Genomic DNA, 19,077 nt, shown 5'->3' on the forward strand with positions numbered 1-19,077 from the left:
TGGGTCAAATATAAGATACTGGGGTTTAAAGATGTAAATAGAAAATTCAGTTTCATCCAGCAAGGAATACAGAGAAGCAGCAATAGAGCCTGCCAGCCCTCGGGGAGCTTGCAGTCTAAGAGAACACAAATATGTATAATTTAAAGTAAAATGGAAGTGTCACTAAGCGGGTGAGAGGATGCAAAGATTGCCTTCAGTTAGAGTGATAAGTAAGTTACCGTCACGGCAGCATTTGCAGGTATTGGAGCTTTATTGTAAGTTTCTTCATTCAGCAAATACTTCCGAGCACTTTTGTGTCTGATCCTGTTATAGCTGGTGGAAAATTATAGACTAACAACCCATGTGCAAATGACAACATCGTGTGGCATGTGCAGGGCTGGCAGCTACATGGGGACATTAACAGAGCCCAGCAGAAGGGCACCTCACTCCACACCTGGGGAGAAAAGAGGTGTGCTGAGTTTTGTTTATTTTTTTATTTGCACTTGTTTTACCATAAATGAAATATGACCCTTCTTAATATGTTATCTGTGATATGTTGGCATGGATATCTTAATGTATAAAACATGCTTATATTTATATATGACATTATGTTTATTTTTGGCTACATCCAGAAAAGAATTTGATAAGGCTTAAACTATTAAAACATGTGCAACAGGCTATTAAAGGAAACAAAATAACTAGAAGCCAGTTAGGAGGACTAGTTCAGCTTTTGAATGGAGCTATTCAACAGTTTCAGAAATTTTTTTTACGCTACTAATGGGCCAGTGGGCATAGCATCTTTTTAAGCTTCCTTCCAGTTTGTGGTACTAAAACCATTGCAGATGCATAAAGGAAGATGCTTATCATCCTGTCTGAGTTGTAAGATGGGACACAACTCCTTATCATAGTACATTCCTTAAATAAGTACAAGAATTACAGTTGACCCTTGAACGTCACAAGTTTGAACTGCACAGGTCCACTTATATGTGGATTTTTTTCAACCAAATGCAGATTGCAAATGCACAAGATTCGAGACCTATGTATACAGAGGGCCAACTTTTCATACGCACGGGTTCTGCGGGCCGACTGTGGGACTTGAATATGCGTGGATTTGGGTAAGCGTGGTGGTCCTAGAAGCAATCCCCAACATGGACCACTGTAGTCTGTTACTTACATTGGCTTTAAAGTTGAGTTTAACTTGTCCAAAGACATTGTTATTTAAGCAGCAATATTATGATACAGCTTTGAAGGCAAAACTTAAAAAAGAACCCATGGATAGCCTTGGAACCATGGAAAGATTCTAACCCTGAGCTTCTAAATAGTATTGCATTTGTAGAACCAAAGACTAGCAGGGGATCAGCAAAGGCTGAGAGCAAGTGGTCTGTATGTCCTCATAATGAAAAGGAGCAGAACAGAACAACAGAGGTAAAGTGATTTTCTTGCTCCTCATTCAGGTAATCATTGGAGATTTGTTCAGCAATAATAGTCAACATAGAAATCTACAGTGTAGGCCAAATAGAGGATTTCTTGTTATCTTCTTTCTTCGTACTGTGGGATAGATAGCCCAGGATTCCTCCAAGTGTGGCAAGTGCACACCACTGCTAACGGCAGTTATTTTAAGTGATTCAGAGTTGAGTATTATTTTACTTTAATAATTATATATTGATGAATGTGAAAATATATAATTAGCACATCAAATCCATGGTTTCTTGGGTTATTATTGCTTAGGACAGGGCTTAGTAAAAAGTGTATCCATTTAAAGCAAAATACCAAGTAAATAAGAGCCTGACTGTACACAGATTTGTGACGATCTTGAAGGTGTTCATGCAGGACTGAAGTACGGGAAACCCCAGGGTGGGCGACTCTGGGTTCCACCTGGGGAATCTGTTCCGAAGACACCTTCCCATCTCTTTCTTGGGTTACAAGCAGTGGAGACACACTTGGGCTTGCATAGATGAAGACAAGTGTTTTTAAGGCACAGTCACAGAGGGACTCCACACAGAGGAGCAGGGTGGAGCGGGACTGTGGAGGCAGAAGGGTCCAGACTCCAGCAGCGTGAGTGACCCCTCTGTGTCCTCATCCACCCCGCCACTCCCAGTCTTTGCGTGTCATGCCCCTTCTTCCCCGCGCTTTACCGTGTAATTTCTCTGCATGCTCTTCTGCATTTACTCAGTAACATAATACAGTTAGCAGTTGTGGGACCTCCAGCAAGTATTGAACTGTTGAGTGGCTGTTCTTCATTTGGAAAATGGGAGTGATAACAGTTTCTCTCTCACAGGACAGTTGTGGATAGTCAGGGAGGTTGCAGTGTGAACACTAGGCACAGCATCTGAAACGTGCTGGAATCAGTCATGTCCACACTGGCAGTGATTAGATCTGCCTGATTCTTCCCATGTTCCGTCTAGTGAGAAGTCGTCAGTAGCTTCAGTTTTCAGGAGGAAAACTTTGACTTGGTCAAAACTTTGTCCTTGATCAAGTTGTTTACTCTCACGCCAAGCCGCCCTGGAGTGTGGTCCAGGAAAAACATGGGCGCCTAGGTCCGCCCCTCGGCCAGCCGTGGCCAGAGGTCACTGGTGCTGCTGTTCACATGGCCGGTGTCAGGGTTTTAATTCGAGGTGGAGCTTCCCAGCCGTTCTGGTAATGAGGAGTCTTGCCTGATATGTCTTGGCCAGCTCTGATTGGTCAAATGTTTGAAGAAGATAGGGTTACCAAAGATTCCTAGACTCTCCAAGTTTGGCAGAAGTTGTTAGAGGATCACACAGTTACCTAAAATGATTGGTTTAATTATATGGTTTGATCATTCTTCAGAAACCACCACCTTGGGTAAACCATTGTTCTTAATTTTCCCTTCATTTTTTGCTCTCATTGTCTGGCCCCAAAGACACACCCCCTTGCGATTTTGTAAAGGATGCATTTCATTGAGAGGACACAGTATGAGGGAGCAGCACATGGACCTAAACTTGACTTCCACCACCCCCAGCCAGATGAATTGCTGAGTCAGTTCACTGTTCCAAAACTGTTTTCTCAAGGCATTATGGTAACAGGCCATGTGAAATTCCCTAACATGACTAGGGGTTTTCACTTCCCAGCTTTATTCAATCCAAGGGTTTTTTTGGCATTTTTTGTTTTTAAGACGGAGTCTCGCTCTGTCACCCAGGCTGGAGTGCAGTGGCGCGATCTCAGCTCACTGCAACCTCTGCCTCCAGGGTTCAAGTGATTCTCCTGCCACAGCCTCCCATGTAGCTGGGATTACAGGCACCCGCCACCTGCCACCACGCTCGGCTAATTTTTGTATTTTTGTAGAGATGGGGTTTCACCGTGTTGGCCAGGCTGGTCTCAAAACTCCTGACCTCAAGTGATCCACCTGCCTCAGCCTCCCAAAGTGCTGGGATTACAAGCGTCAGCCACCACACCCGGCCTGAATCAGTTTTGACATTGTCTCTTCCTCTGGGTGGCAAATGTGATCCATTCAAGACAGATTATATCCCATGTGAAGAGTCACCCTGAGAATTTGAGCAGGGTGTGCTGTGTGGTTACTTGGACTCCAGACCCTTGTCTGCAGAACTGGTGGGACCTTGACTGGGTCCGGTTCTCCTGTCTGCACATGCAGGCCATGGAGGTGCTGAGGTTGCAGCAGTGACGGCAGCACTGAGGGTCAGCTTCAGGGGGACCCTCTTCAAGCCAAACAAAAAGTCTTCTCAAAAAATGGAACTAAAGATGGTCCCTTGATGTGGCGTCTCAGTACGGCTGCTGAGGTATCTCACAAGGCCACCAGCAAGTTAATCTAAGGAGGCATTTTCCTCTTGTGATCAGGCAGCTGTTCCAGCAGAAATGGCTCAAGGAGAAATTCTCCTCCCAGATTCAGTGTCTGGTGGGTGAAACTTCACTGGTGCGTTGCCAGCCCTGGCCTCCAAATCTCTTTAAATTATGAGGTCATAGAATGCATGCTTAAAGCCCCAGGCCTGTCAAGTCGCTTGGGGACATTCATACTGAGGATTTATTAAGATATTAATTTGGTTATCAGGAGTCTGGATGGGGATGAGAGGAGGGGATCTTTATTACATGCTGGGAAAATCAGAAATCAACTCTAATTGACTACCTCTACTCTTTCCTCTCCCAAGATGACTTTGCCAAAAAGCTGTGAGAAAAAGTCCTCAAATCTCAGAGATTGACTTGGTACTTGATTATATCCAGCTCGCTGGTGGGCCTGTGGCCACAGAGCCTCAGAAGAAGGTTAGAAGGTCTGGCCAGACTTTAGCTTTGCTCCACCTACTTGGCAGGGTCAAGCCTACTTGCCAGTGGCTTGGAGAAGTGTTTTGTTTTGTTTTGTTTACTTTTTAGGAGTGTATTCAAAGCACATTCACAGTAAGGAAAAAAAAAATGCAGCCTGTGTCTTCAGGGACTGGGAGTCTCTGATTCCAGCACAGCCGACTGTCCAGCAACCCCAGAATTGGTAGGCTGGACACTGGGCTGCTCCTCATGGCGGTGGGAGCATGGGCTGCTCAGCTGGGGCCATCCAAGGAAGCAAAGATGTGGTGCTGTCCTGTGGCTGGGGGAGCAGGATGAATTGGGATAAGGGAAGCCCAGGGCAGGGTGTTGGCACAGAGCTGGGAGGTGCATTACACCGAGGAACTGACGTGGCCTAAACTCCACAGTGACTTCCACCTGGGATCACAGTTTACAGTCAGCTGAGTGCTCAAGAGAACTCAGTAGAGGGGAATGTTGATGATTCAGGTATTTGGTTGGTGATCATGTTATCAAGTCAGACTTGCAGTTAAGGTAGTGTCCCAGACGTTTGTTCAGAGGGCTCCTTCCCACTTGTCATCTGTAATACTGGCTAATGGGAAACCTGGCCCATGTCAAATTTGTATTAGGAACCATTGATTTCAATTCACGGGCTTTTTCCATTGAGGAATTTAAAGGTCTTAGAAGTAATATTCTTGTTAAGGCATCTGAGGTCTCCCGGGGGACAGACACAGTCTTCATCTTGAGCAGGAACGGTGAGACCACTCTTCTCCCTGTAAGGGACCAGTAGCATGTGTGGGACCACGCCGCCTGCACAGCCGTCCCCTCACGGGGTGCCTCTTGCCCTTGCAGATCACCAGGTGCTCCGAGCTGCCCTGCCTGGGCTCAGGCATCAGCACGGTCCCATCTGAGCGTCGCCTTAACCTCTCTGTAGACCTCTGTCCTTGTCTATCTAATGGGGATGATGGTAGCCCCTCTGTGTGTTCTTACTAGGATTAGTGGGCTGGGAAAAGTTACAGTAATATATTACCAGCATGTAGAAAATACCCAATAATGATGAACTATTAGTATTCCTTAAAAGAATTAAAAGTGAAAATAGTAGGAAACACTAGTAAGATAAAATACAATGGGAAATTAAATTTTTTTAATTACTTAAGGAAATTCCTCAATCCACAAGCAACAATAAATAAGAAACTGAGATTTCCTAGCAGCTGAAAGGTTTTTTTTTTTGCAGTTGAGGCTGTGAAGCTGGGCAGGGTTTCAGCTGAGCTGAGGTTGGAAGTCCCTGACCTTCAGCTGTGGCCGCCTACGGAGCAGCAGGGAGAGCAAACCCATGGAGAACCCCGCGGCCCCCAAAGCATGGACGGAGCTGCCAGCCTTCTCCCCTGCCCTTCTTCCTCTACTCCCGACCTGCCAGCCTTCTCCCCTGCCCTTCTGCCTCTACTCCCGACCTGCCAACCTTAGCCTAAAATCAGAGCTGCTAGAATCACACACACTGTCGTAGCTGGTTTTGTATTGTAAATGAGTCATTCTGTTATTTTGGAAACTTATGTCTCATGCCAGGATCTGCAGATAGTTCTTTTTCAAAATATTGTTTAGACAAAATAAATTTCTTTAAATATAATATCTCTACTTTAAATGCCTGGGGTGTTGCATGCATTTTTCTAGGCTAGCAAAGCTTAAAGATTATTTCTATAATTTCAGTTACATTTACCTTTATAGATGGGTTACTCTAAGTAACAAATTAAACACACATGGATCTTCTAACTTTGGCTTTAAATCCTAAGAAGAGATAGGTAATATATAAAAGAGTATTAAAAAGAAATGGAGAGTAAAGGTATATGTCGGGCAGATGCAGTAGAAAAGCAAGGGTCATGACGTCAATGCTGGGCAAAGCTAAATTGTGAAGACAAAACAATAATGAAACAGGGTTATTCATCACGCTAAAGCGTACAGTCCATAGGATGATATAACTACCATGAATTTGGCCTAAATGATTGAACATTGAAACACATAAAGCGAGAACTGTAGGGGATTAAAGACAAAATCAGTGAGTGCAGTGCTGGTGGGAGAGGCGCCTGGACTTCTTGGCCCCTCACAGGTCATGTGGTAGACATAAGTTGTTATTACTGTGAGCCAGTAGAGACTTTCAGGTTTGATGGCTGGAAAACAAATGCTCATTTTATAAGTTTTTTTTTGTTTTGTGTTTTGTTTTGTTTTGTTTTTGAGACGGAGTTTCACTCTTGTTGCCCAGGCTGGAGTGCAGTGGTGCGATCTCGGCTCACCGCAACCTCCGCCCCTTGGGTTCAAGCGATTCTCCTGCCTCAGCCTCCCAAGTAGCTGGGATTACAGTCATGCACCACCACGCCCAGCTCATTTTGTATTTTTTTTTAGTAGAGATGGGGTTTCTCCATGTCAGTCAGGCTAGTCCTCAACTCCCGATCTCAGGTGATCCGCCCACCTCAGCCTCCCAAAGTGCTGGGATTACAGGCGTGAGCCACCGTGCCCGACCCTCATGGTATAAGTTTTTAAACTTAATATATACTAGCTTACAGAGGAAACCGATGTGATTTCCAAAAATTTGAAATAATTAGAAACCTTATTCTCACATTATAATGCAATAAAAATAGAAATAAACACACAGGCGGAAACCAGGCATCCCTGGGAGTCCCTTGGGGCAGAGAAGAGCTTCGTCGCTCAAGCAAAACTTCCATGGAGGCGAGGACTGTGGGCTTTGTTGGAAGCTTTATCTCCAACCTCTAGAACACGAGCACTAAGTAGATTCTGAACAAATCTTATTAAATGAATAAGAGCTAATAATCCTAATAAATATGTTGAAAGCACTATTCTAAGCATGTACATTTATTATGTCACTCACTCCTCACAGTCCCTGTTCGAAGGAGGTGCTGTCCTCATCCGCATTTCACAGATGGGGGAATGGGAAGGGTAGGCTCAGTCACTTGCCCCAGAATTGACAGCTGGCAAGTGGGAGACTGAGATTCAGGCTGGGCTGTCGGACTTGGCCGTGTTCTCATGTGCAGAACCACCATTGCCTCCAAATTAATGAAAAAATGAGATAAGGTAATGGCTTAGAGTTAATGTGTAAAGATTGTTATTAAATAAGAATCAAAAGAAGTGATTTAAACACTAAAGAGGTAGCAAAGAACCAAAGTAAGTTGAAGAATTACTGTGTTCTTTAAAGACAAAAGCAGAAATGAATCAACTAAGAAAAAGAGAGAATGAAACCAAAGAACAGGTTTTGGAAGGGGGCAGACAGCGATGAAGCGGGGAGAGTAAAGACAAGTAGACCTGGAGCCGGTGTGGTGGAAAAAGGAGAGAAATCATAGCGTGTAAGAAGTAGTAATCGTCGAAGGAAGGTGAATGCAAGCGTCTTGTGAATCTGAAAATGGCATTTTGTAAAATTCACTTTCCATTCCTGATTTGTAGTTTGTTTGCTTATTTGTTAACTTTCTTAAATAATTTCAAAAGCATGGAAAAGTTGCAAGAATGATATAAAGAATTTAATCAAAATTTCACCCATTTGTCAATATTTTGCCACATTTGCTGCACATTTCTCTCATATGCTCTATATGTTGTAACGAGCAGGCGGTCTTCCCAGCCCCTCCTTTACCTTCAGGGCCCTGGCCTCACTTCTTGTCCCCCTCGCCCCAGGAGGCTGTGAAAAGCAAAGCACTGTGCCTCCCAGGCACATGATCTTCTCAGAAAGGAGGAGCCCCAGGGAAGGAGGAGGCAGCCCCTGGCACACAGCCTATCCTTTGAGGGTTGTGTTGTCCTTTCTTCTTGGTTGTATAAATCTTCACTATTTTGGCTGGGCATGGTGGCTCATGCCTGTAATCCCAGCACTCTGGGAGGCCAAGGCAGGCGGATTGCTTGATGTCAGGAGTTTGAGACCAGCCTGGCCAACATGGTGAAACCCCGTCTCTACTAAAAATACAAAAATTAGCTGGGTGTGGTGGTGGGCGCCTGTTATCCCAGCTACTCAGGAGGCTGAGGCAGGAGAATCACTTGAACCTGGGAGGCAGAGGTTGCAGTGAGCCGAGATTGCACCACTGAACTCCAGCCTGGGCGACAGAGCAAGACTCTGTCTCAAATTAGAAAAGAAAAAAAAAAAAAAAGCCGGGTGCGGTGGCTCATGCCTGTAATCCCAGCACTTGGGAGGCTGAGGCAGGTGGATCATCTGAGGTCAGAAGTTCGAGACCAGCCTAGCCAACATGGTGAAATCCCATTTCTGCTAAAAATACAAAATTAGCCGGGAGTGGTGGCACATGCCTGTAATCCCAGCTGCTCAGGAGGCTGAGGCAGGAGAATCACTTGAACCCGGGAGGCGGACGTTGCAGTAAGCCAAGATCGCACCACTGCACTCCAACCTAGGCAACGGAGCAAGACTCTGTCTCCAAAAAAAAAAAAGAACACTCATTTCCAGAGTCAAGTTACGTGACCACAGGTGGCACAGGGCCTGTGAGAACAGCCTGCGACGACTTCCTGCCAGTCCTCTTCTTCCCCATCTGTGCCCCTACTCCACAGGCACCTGTGGACACCCTGACCTGAGCTGGTGAGGCTTCACCAGTGCACGCCTGGCTGCTTCCCTGCCTGCCCTCCGGCCCTGTGATCCCATGTCCTGGAAAGTGTAAACTCTTTACAAAATTCCCTGTCGTTTTAGTGAGGTTTCAGAAGAGAGTAGACTCAGATAAATGTATTCCATCCTCCATCTGTAATCATAAAGTAAAACATTATTTGTGATGTAATGCTTTTAAAGAACACCATGAGAACCCTGACTTGATTTATTGAATCGTAGCACACATGTCCAGTGAAATTTCAAACAGTTGACAATGGCATTACCTATTTGTTGGCATGTGAGACATGCTGGACACGGGGGTGTGGGTAGAGAACAGAGGAGCCCATGAAGCCTGGCTCTCAGTGGTGCGCTCGTCCGCACACACTCGGAGATGCCAGCAGTGTTCTCTCTGGGTTGGCCTTTCCTGTGTTGTTTGGATTTTTTTTTTTCTATTTTACAGTGAGCATGTATTATTTTTCTGAAAAGAAAATTCTTCAAAAATAAGTTATACATGTTTACATATCACATTAGCCATTGAATACTAAGTTGTTTCATGTAAAGACCAGTGGTCACTATACACAGAGCGAAAGATTTCATTTATAGGTTTTTATATGGTCCTTCTTGTAGTGCCCACCTTGTACCTTATTTTCCTGGATTAAAAAACATACATATCACATTATTCTTTTCTCTGTTCCTGTTTAGAGACCCTGTTGTATTTTCATTTTTTCCCCCTCTCTGGGATTTGCTGCTGGCACTCAAGTTCCTGAAAGAAGCATTCTCTCATAGTCTCAAAAGAGTCAGAAAGAACCTCATTTTTCAGGTGTAGAAACTGAGGCCCAAAAAGGTCAAGCAGCTGGTCACGGCTAGTTAATAGCAGCCAGCGTCTCTTGCCTTTTTCGTCCGCTTGCTGCTTTCTGGTTTTTATCTTCTTACCCATGTGAGCTTCCAGCACCACCTGCTCCCCCCACCACCAAAAAAAAAAAAAAAAAAAAAAAAAAAGCTCCACTCCACCGGTCTTTTATAACCTATCAAACTTTAAGGATATTTTTCCATTCAAATCTAGTTATGCCACAGATTGATAATACTAAGATGTTTGTGAACTCACCAAACAGATTGGCCCCCCCATGACCTAGTGGGTACATCTGTAGTAATTGGATTTGGGGTTCATTCAGCCTCTTTCAACCAACATTTAAGTAGTTCCTATTGCACTGCCCTGTTACAAGATCAAGAACAGCAAAGCACTATTGCTGTGCTGTTTATCAGGGCATATGCATAATTGTGTTATGCAGAACCAGACATTGTCAAATTGAGATTCCGCCTTTCATTTGGTACAAATTTAGTTGCTGAGTGCAGTGCATTAGAGGCCTGCTTGGACATGCCTGGAGAGGATGAAAATGTTGCTTCCGTTGGTTGCTTCCATTAGTTGCTTCTGTTACCATCAGGAGAGTAACAAGATTGAGTTATAGATGCTGGTAAGTCACTTGATACATCATTAACAAAAAACAAAAACAACATTTATTGAGGACATGCTATATTTCAGGGATTTTTCTAAGCACTGTACATCTCTTAATTCACATCAACCCCAGTAAAGACAATATTCCCATTTTCCAGTTGAGAAAACTGAGGCCCAAAGAGATCGTTTTCTGCCCAGGGTCACTAAGGTAGTCAGAGGTGGAGTTGGGACTCCAGCTGGGCTTTCTGCCTGAGTTCTTAACACCTTTGTTTTACTGCTGCTTCCTGTCTTCGAGGCTTTACAGATATTTGCTAAATGAAGGATTCAGAGTTAGAAATGAAGGGGGCGACTGTGCCTAGTAATGGCCTCAGAGTGCTGTGCCTTGAGTGTTTTTAGTTTAGCTATAAAACTTGGACCATAGGGAGCAAGTCCTAGGAAGTACTGTGTACAGAAAAGTAGACTCTAGAGGACAGCCTGTGGAGGTTTCCCCAAATGCCACCACCTCTCAGATCACCCAACTGAGCTTCCACATTGAAAGACACGGGGCCGGCTCGTTCCGTGTCCAGACAGACACTTTCACTCTGTGCCTCCGGAGATGAGGCTCCCTGCTGAGCGGTCAGTCCTCACCTGAGGAGGTGGGGCGAGGAAAGGGGGTTGCCCACGGTCACTGTGGTGTTGGTGTTCTTTTTGAAACGAAACCTTCCAGTCGCAGACACAAAAGCCGTAGAGAGTAAGGCAGAGGATCGGCCATGCTTCTGGGAGGCAGGGGAGGGGAGCACCTGTCAAAGGGGACCCTTTGAGGCCAACTGGGGCAGTGGGGCCAGGTCAGGGAGCAGGGCTCCAGGGCCAGGTGGACAGCCAGGAGGCTGGAGTCGTGCAGTCCCTCACAGGCTGCCCTAGGCTTAGTCTGGAAGGTGGGGAGCGCCTCCTCCTTCAGAGACCACTGAGCTCTCAGCTCCCCATGGAGCTTCTTGGCACCTGATTTCTAGTGCCACCTTTTGCGGCTCCTGTGGAGAGTCCAGCTCACGGAGGCCCCCCAGAGCCCTCGTTATACCTGCAGGTTCCCCCCACCAAACCCTGCTGTGTCAGGAAAACAGAAGTTCAGTGGCAGCGCAGACTTATGGGTAGAGAAGGGTCCCCTGTCTTTCAACACTTACCCAAACACTAGAATGTTACTCATTTCCATGAATAATAAAAATATCAAATCTTTAGGTGACGTATCTTCTCCAGTGGAAAAATGAACCTTTTAGCTGGTAAACCTCTTGAATAACCGGCCAGCCATATTACAGTCGTGTTACTTAGGGAGTGTGATATGATGGGCCCTTTGAGAAAGCGATCGAAAGCCAAGGTTTCCGGGTGCAGCCTGCCCCCTCAAGTCCCCACTGAAACAGGAGGAGAGGGCAGGAGCGCCCGTGGGCTCTCAGTGGCTACGTTGCTTGTTGGTTTGCTTTCCTGCCTGGTGAGCGGCCACTGGAGCATCCTGAGGAAAGGGGAGTGAGGAGCAAGCTGGGGTTCGGCCCCAACCGGGGTGCTCTGCGTGCACTCATCAGGGTCCCCACCCAGGTGTGCTGGTGACAGGCATGAGGGTACTGTACTGGGGAGCTGTGAGTCACCACCTGAGGGGCGCCTGCTTCTATCCCAGAATCATCCTCCAGGTCATGCATCTATGTCCAGCCCTTCCCAGGTGTGGTCAGTCCCCTGAGAGCAGCGTGGCCGTGGTGCCTGCTCACACCTGGCATGGGTAGACCAGCCTTAGCTCGGGAGGGCATGGATGGGAGTGATGTGTCTTTTTTCTTTTTTTTTTTTTTTTACTTTATTAAAATACTGAGTTTTATTTCGCATGTATTTTTTTTATCTCCCCACCATTTCCGTGTCTGATCACCGCTACTACTATGTCCTATCATACTTACTTAAAACCATACATACTTAAAACCAAGCAGAGAGTGGAGTTCCATCTTTAATAACTAAACAGGCATTTTGGGCTGGGCACAGTGGCTCACACCTGTAATCCCAGCACTTTGGTAGGCCAGAGGGGAAAGATTGATTGAGCCCAGGAGTTCAAGACCAACCTGGGCAACACAGCAAGACTCTGTCTTCTACAAAAAAATAAAAAGATTAGCCAGGAGTGGTGGCATGTGCCTGTGGTTCTAACTGCTTGGGAGGCTGGGGTGGGAGGATCGCTTGAGCCCAGGAAGTTGAGGCTACAGTGAGCTGTGATCACACCACTGCACTCCCGCCTGGGTGACAGAGCAAGACCCTATCTAAAACAAACTGGCATTTGGGAACAACATATTCTTGGCAATGGAACCTGGACAGCATTGATCAAACATGGTAGGGAAAGTTCTCATTCTGCATTATAAAAAGGACTGCCAGATATCAACTGTTAGAGATACGAAATAAGATGGAACATTTTTAACTGTTTATTTTCTTAAAGAGACTTCCTGCCCTGCCAGAGATCTTGAATAGCCCCCTAGTCAGTCATCCAGAAGCCATTCACATAATTGATTTTCTTGGCTTCCACTCTGAAAAGAGAACCACCTTTTGCTATACTTGGCTGCATGTTTGCTTTAATGTCTTCTGCAGAACTAGGTTCTTCTGGTGTTTTAGGAGTATTTTCCTATTTTTTGAAGGATTCCTGACCTTTTCTTGACATTGGTGACTTGGAGTCTTTTCCATTCTGGTTTGATTGTTGTGCATGATTGGGTAGAGTATCTCGTATAGATTTCTTCACTGGAGATTTGTCTTCAGTTTCCTTATCATCATCATCATCATCTTCAGCAACAGCAAATTTTACTTTTTTCTGTGGAACCTTGCTGCCACCTCCAGGGGGAGATCGCTTTCCAGATATTCTGAAGAGTTTCACATCCTCCTGTCTCTGACTCTGCATCTTCCTCCCCAGCTACTAAGTGCCATCCATTGATACACACGGGCCCTGAACCACACTTCACCCACAACGCCACAGGTGGTGGTATTTCATAGCCCAAGGGAAGCCCTTGGCTGTACAGATGTTTTCAAAGCCATCAGTGTTACCGTAATCGGACTACCTTCATCATTCATTGCCTCTGCTTCAACAATGCACAATTCATCCTTTGCCCCTACGATCATTCTTAAAGATAGCTAGTGCTCATTTTCATCATCATCCATCTTAAAGTGATTATCTGTTTTTGGTGTTTTTTTTGTTTTTTTTTTTTTTTTGAGTTGATGGCCAGGTGAGGTGGAGGCCAGAACGCAAAGTAGGTTAATACCAATACCAGGTAACTAATTCGAATCTTAGAGAGTGGAACGGTGGGTATTTGACAAGTTCGAGGAGGCTGGCAGCTTGCGGGAGGGGCCGGAGCGGTCTGGCACTGGTTTCTCTCTGTCTCACCTCCCCAGAGATTGGACACACACGTGCACACAGTTCTGATATCGTGGTTTCTGGCACGTGACATGGTACCCGTGTTGCTCTGTGGCCCTGATCCCCCGGCTGCCCCTGCAAGGCTGGAGCTCCGGCAGCACCGCAGGGCCCGGTAGGTCCTGGCACACAGGCCGCATGCTCATTGGGTTGTGTCTGTCACCGACCCTCCCTGCTGTCATCCCCGGGCTGGACGTCATTTGAAGGAAGAGCCAAGTTTCAGCAAGAGTTCGTGTCTAGAAGGAAGCACTTGAACCTCCTCTGTCTGAGACATGGAGAAAGGAAGTAGAGAACATAAAAAGGGCCTGGAAAAGTGTGTGTATTTTCAGTGTATCTTTTTCACACCTCTACACTGCTTTGTCTGCTGGTAAACATATTGAAGGTTCTGGAATCAATTTCAAGATGGAATTGAAAAGAACTTATTACATCTTCTTGTCAAATGTTAAGAGCTGTTACTTTTCCTGAGACAGTACCTGCCTTTGTTCTTTGGATAAATGAGCTACTGCATTGTTGGAGCTTCTTGTCACCAGGTGCAGTAATATTGTTAACATTCAGTATTTCACCAGTCATGCTAGTGAAAGTGGAAGATGAAGCGATAACGGGCTGCACGAAGGGTGTTGAGCATTTAGTAATCAGTGCCCTGGGTGCCTGTTCTCCCCAAGGCTTTCTAGAACTAGAGTCCTATGTGGGAAATATGGCCTGTATCTGGAAATAATGCTGTGCTGGATTTATATCTTTATCCCTAGGAGTTTGTTTGACCTGTCTCAACCTTTCCCTGTTTAAAAAAAAAAAAAAATTGAATCTTCCAATTCAGCTAACACCGTTGAATTCCTCTTGTTGCCTGCAGCCGGAGTGAAGGTTCATTCTGAATGTGCATGTGTGTCCACAGGAGATTTTACAGCTGAGGAACCTGAGGCTGAGAATAATTTCATGACTTTACCATGTTCTGATTTGGCAGAGTCTGAACCGGGAGTCAGTTTGTTCTTCCATATGACTCCCTTTACTGAAAAATTCACTGAAGAGCTTTTCCGAGGAAAGCAGCCTCTCCTGGCCTTTGCCTATTTCAGCCTGACTTCTCTCCATCCGGGGCGCCTCTCCACTCCACTCCACCCCACCCTTCCCCACCCATTCCCTGGTAGAAGCTGCCAGTCTTCATGGGCGGAAAGCATGAATGAACTAGAATTTAGCTTCAACCACTGCCTTTTGAAATGAAAAATATCTGCCTTATTAAATTATACTGTTAATTTCATGAGAAAGGGATGATGGGGTTGGTGGTAGAAAGTTGTGGGGGAAGTGAATACTACCCCTTTCTTCATATGCAAATAAAACCAGGCTAACAAATCAGAAAAACCCAAAGGGTTTAAGGTAGGAGCAGCTCAGGTTTGTGAGGGAACCCCAGCTTGGTCCTGGGGTTAGCAGATCTTCCTCTCCAGGAAAGATAATGTAACCTTGGTACATGTGTACAACAAAGCTGGATAAACCACAGCATTGGAACGTTATGGTGGACTGTGAGCCATGGGTTGTCTCTATCCAAACATGTAAACGAGTGTCAGTGTAGAAACTGCAGACCAGCCCCACGTTACCAAATTTATACCCAAATGAAGTGTACCTGGCGGTACTGTTCATTTTGCCCGAAATCCACCCACACGGAGTGGAAAGATGGTTTCAGCATCCCTGGTGACAGGAAGGGCTGTGCACCACCTCTCCGGGTTTCTCATGGAGCCCCGCCAAACAGACCTAGCTACAGGCAGCCACATGCTGGAACCGGGAACACTTAGAGTGGGCACATTGAAGCCAGCTTGCTTCAACTCCTTCACATTGGGTGGTACAGACAGACCCGGAGGGAGGCGGGGACATTGGCTACATTTGAATGAAATAACATCCATTTAGAAACCTGAGCAGAGGCACATGTGTGCAGGGAAGCTAAGATACCATATCTCATCACACCTAAGGCACTGTTCATTGTAGTCCAAACCATTTTTAAAGAATTACCAAAAAAAGAAAAAGGAAAGTGAAAGATGTAACTTGATTTTAGAGACATTAATATGAAAAATGTATGTATTAGAATGGATAAAATAAGACACTTGCACTTTGAAATTAAGAAGGATTTATTGTAAATTTCAGAAGTCATCTACCGAGTTACAAACAGTACGAGAAGATTAACCCAATTTTGAAGTTATGTAGGTGCTAAGGGTCAGGGTAGAAGTTAGTCTTGACATTTTGTAGATATATAGAAGTATTTCATTGTTATGTTTATTGAGCTTTCAAGTTGTAGAAGCTTGGATTTATAGAGTAAGAGATCCTTGTTACCAAAAATGAGGGCTGGCAGGCCTGTACCGGGGAAGGCAGAGCTTGTGTGTCGGGTTTGCCTGGAAGAGGGCTGAGGGCTGGGTTCATGGGCTGTAGCTAAGGGCCTTCTCTTCTGAAGGAGAACTGCCTACCTCTGGCTTCTTGGTTTCAGTTCACCCATGTCTCTCCTGAACAGAGATCAAGTTGGATCGCTCATCTGCTTAAAAATCCTCTGATTCAAATCTCTCTTCCCACAGAACTTTTTAGATTTTTCTATCAAAGCACCTCTGACTGCAGAGATTCCACAGAAGAGAAATGCCTACTAAGAGCAGTTTCTTTGAAGACCTGAGTTTTATCTTAAAAGTTTATGTAGATGTTGCATTCTACTCTGATACAGGTGGCGTTATTTTGATATAAATATATTTCAAACGGTACCTCTCAGTTAAATTACCTGAGTTTGTTTTCCTCAGATGGATCTGTTCATTCAGCAGACATCTGTGGTCCCACTATGTGCTGGCCAGTTTTAGATGCTGAGGATAAAAATGGTAAAAAGACAAAGTTCTCCTCTGAGAAAATTTATAATTAAGCATCCAGTATGATTAATGTAGGGTATATAAATTATTATCAATTGTTCTCGTTTTGAAGATACTGTCTTTTGAGGAAAATTGATTTTCCAGGAGAATGCAGCCTGATTAATATCTCCTGTAACTTCAGGCCCCTGTGATTGACAAGTGAGTGCCTCTAGACAGTCTCCCCATTTAGTGCAGCCTTCAGTGCCTTCCCAGCAACTGCAGCCTCTCCTCAGCTGTGGTTCCTGTTCTCCCTGAGCCTTCATCCGCATGTCTCCCAGCAGAATTCATCACCTCCCATATTCTGGTAGTTTTCTTTTAGATCAGATACTGTCTTTTAATGTATCTATCATCAGTGCCTAGCACAGTGCCTGGCGTGTATGTATGGGATGCGTTTGCGAAATACTTCCTAGTGATGCAGGCTGTGTCCTCATGGTTGGGGCTGCTCTTTTTTTTTTTTTTTTTTTCCTGAGACGGAGTCTCTATCGCGAGGCTGGAGTGTGGTGGCGTGATCTCAGCTCACTGCAACCTCCGCCTCCTGGGTTCAAGCGATTCTCCTGCCTCAGCCTCCCGAGTAACTGGGACTACAGGCACATGCCACCACACCCAGCTAATTTTTGTATTTTTAGTAGAGACGGGGTTTCACCATGTTGGCCAGGATGGTCTCAATCTCTTGACTTCATGATCTGCCCTCCTCGGCCTTCCAAAGTGCTGGGATTACTGCGCCACTGTGCCCGGCATGAGCCAGGCATGAGCCACTGCGCCCGGCCTTGAGACTTTAGTTCTTATATCCCAATTGCTCCCCACCCATGCTTTAGATCTGATAAGCATGTCATACCACAGTTTTTATTTTATCCATTTGCAAGCATAATTACTGATCTTTCTTTTAAGAGAGAATCTTTATATAAATAGAAAAAAATTAGAGATCACCTAGATCCTTATCTTAATTGGGAAAGTTTTTCAATCAAAAAATTAGAAGCTTAAATTCTTCAGCATGACACACTATGTAGAGGAACGTTAGAAAGTGTGTTGGGGGGCCGGGCGTGGTGGCTTATACCTGTAATCCCAGCACTTTGGGAGGCCAAGGCAGGCGGATCACAAGGTCAGGGGTTCGAGACCAGCCTGGCCAATGTGGTGAAACCCCATCTCTACTAAAAATACAAAAATTAGCCAGGCGTGGTGGCGAGCACCTATAGTCCCAGCTACTCAGGAGGCTGAGGCAGGAGAATCGCTTGAACCCAGGAGGCGGAGGTTGCAGTAAGCCGAGAGCCAAGATCACGCCACTGCACTCCAGCCTGGGCAACAGAGCGAGACTCTGTCTCAAAAAAAAAAAAGAAAGAAAGAAAGAAACTGTTGGGATTTCGTGAGTGCGAGTATGTCTTCTGGTCTCAGGTAGATCCAGGTGAGTTTAGAGGTCGTCGGTGTTGACGCATCTAAAACCACGCAGGAAACGGCTGACAATCGTGCAGCCGAATGTACCCCTGGAGCAGCCCAGGGACACCCCGATTGGCAACAGCGGGAGTTGGGAGAAGAGAGGGAGGCCAGAGGGTGGGTGTGTGGAAGGAGACTCACGTCTCACTAGGTTCTTTCCATTTTCATTTTTTAGCCATATGCATGTATCTTTAGCCTTTGTTATTTGAAATATAACTCACATACAGAAGCATATGAAACAAATGTGTAGTGAATAATTATAAAGCAAATACCCACATAACCACCATTCAGGCTGGGCACCCTAAAAGCCCCCTGTAAGTCTTTTATAGTTTTAGGGATTCCTGTTTCTTCCTATAAATGAAATTATACTGAATAAATCCTCCTTATCTGCCCCTTTGATGCAACAGTATTTTGTAAGGCATATCCATATTGTGTATAGCTGTATTTCATTCATCTCTATCGCTTTGGAATGTTACATAGACTGCATTTGCATTTACCTAATCCACCACTGATGGGCATTTGGTTGTTTCTAGTCTGAGCTGTTAGGACGTTGTGCTGTGGACATTCCTTTACCTCGGTTGTGATGGACGTGTATGTGAGTGTCGTGAGGTGGTATGCCAGGAGTGCTGTCCTGGCTGTCAACCTCGTGTATCCTCAACACCACTGATAATGCACTGCCCCGCCCATGGGTGGTGTTCGGGCTCCAGCCACAAAGCAGCTCCTTGAGGCACTATTTGGTGTTGTCCGTAGTGGTTTTAATTTGCATTTCTCTGGTGGTTATTAATGAGAGTGACGAGCCCTTCATACGTGGTTAGCCATTTGGATCTATTTTGTGAAGAACCTGATTAAGACTTTTTCCTATTCTTCTATTTGTACTCTGAAGTTTTCTTACTGAGTTATTGGACATGTTTATATATTCTGGATATGAGTCTATTGGTTATATGTATTCAAATAGTTCTATCCTGTGCCTTGCCTTTTCATCCTTGTGGATGTCTTGATGAAGGAAAATGTTTAATTTCAGTGTAGATATATGTATATAATTTGATCCAGTTGCTTCCTTTCTTTCTTTCTTCTTTTCTTTTCTTTCTTTTTTGTCCCTGTGTACCTAGTTGTCCCAACACAACGTGTTGAAAGGCCGACT

At 45.2% G+C, this 19,077-nt stretch overlaps 1 protein-coding gene and 1 pseudogene across 29 annotated transcripts in view, besides 5 other annotated features; one reads left to right on the plus strand and one right to left on the minus strand.

Annotated features, from left to right (window-relative positions):
• PPP2R5C (protein phosphatase 2 regulatory subunit B'gamma) overlaps positions 1 to 19,077 on the plus strand; it is a 167,420-nt gene that overhangs the window by 70,138 nt on the left and 78,205 nt on the right. For 6 of the 29 annotated variants that reach the window (XM_047431537.1, XM_011536920.2, NM_001352916.2 and 3 more), the window contains one exon: positions 991 to 1,094. The exons of the other annotated variants lie outside the window; for them this stretch is intronic. The gene's annotated coding sequence lies outside the window, so the exon portion shown is untranslated. The remainder of the gene's footprint in view (positions 1 to 990; positions 1,095 to 19,077) is intronic. 29 annotated transcript variants of the gene reach the window in all.
• Positions 2,005 to 2,505: an enhancer, noted in NCBI's record as "H3K4me1 hESC enhancer chr14:102299052-102299552 (GRCh37/hg19 assembly coordinates)". NCBI's record gives its function as "activates a minimal SCP1, AML or CMV promoter by ChIP-STARR-seq in naive H9 embryonic stem cells {active_cell/tissue: H9 hESC(naive)}" and the evidence as "EXISTENCE:reporter gene assay evidence [ECO:0000049][PMID:30033119]".
• Positions 8,343 to 8,392: an enhancer, noted in NCBI's record as "active region_9051". NCBI's record gives its function as "activates an Ori minimal core promoter by ATAC-STARR-seq in GM12878 lymphoblastoid cells {active_cell/tissue: GM12878}" and the evidence as "EXISTENCE:reporter gene assay evidence [ECO:0000049][PMID:35858748]".
• Positions 8,643 to 8,842: an enhancer, noted in NCBI's record as "active region_9052". NCBI's record gives its function as "activates an Ori minimal core promoter by ATAC-STARR-seq in GM12878 lymphoblastoid cells {active_cell/tissue: GM12878}" and the evidence as "EXISTENCE:reporter gene assay evidence [ECO:0000049][PMID:35858748]".
• NPM1P20 (nucleophosmin 1 pseudogene 20) lies at positions 12,063 to 13,426 on the minus strand (annotated as a pseudogene).
• Positions 12,978 to 13,127: an enhancer, noted in NCBI's record as "active region_9053". NCBI's record gives its function as "activates an Ori minimal core promoter by ATAC-STARR-seq in GM12878 lymphoblastoid cells {active_cell/tissue: GM12878}" and the evidence as "EXISTENCE:reporter gene assay evidence [ECO:0000049][PMID:35858748]".
• Positions 13,768 to 13,867: an enhancer, noted in NCBI's record as "active region_9054". NCBI's record gives its function as "activates an Ori minimal core promoter by ATAC-STARR-seq in GM12878 lymphoblastoid cells {active_cell/tissue: GM12878}" and the evidence as "EXISTENCE:reporter gene assay evidence [ECO:0000049][PMID:35858748]".

Source organism: Homo sapiens, chromosome 14 (genome assembly GCF_000001405.40).
Source record: "Homo sapiens chromosome 14, GRCh38.p14 Primary Assembly".
Lineage (NCBI taxonomy): Eukaryota > Metazoa > Chordata > Mammalia > Primates > Hominidae > Homo > Homo sapiens.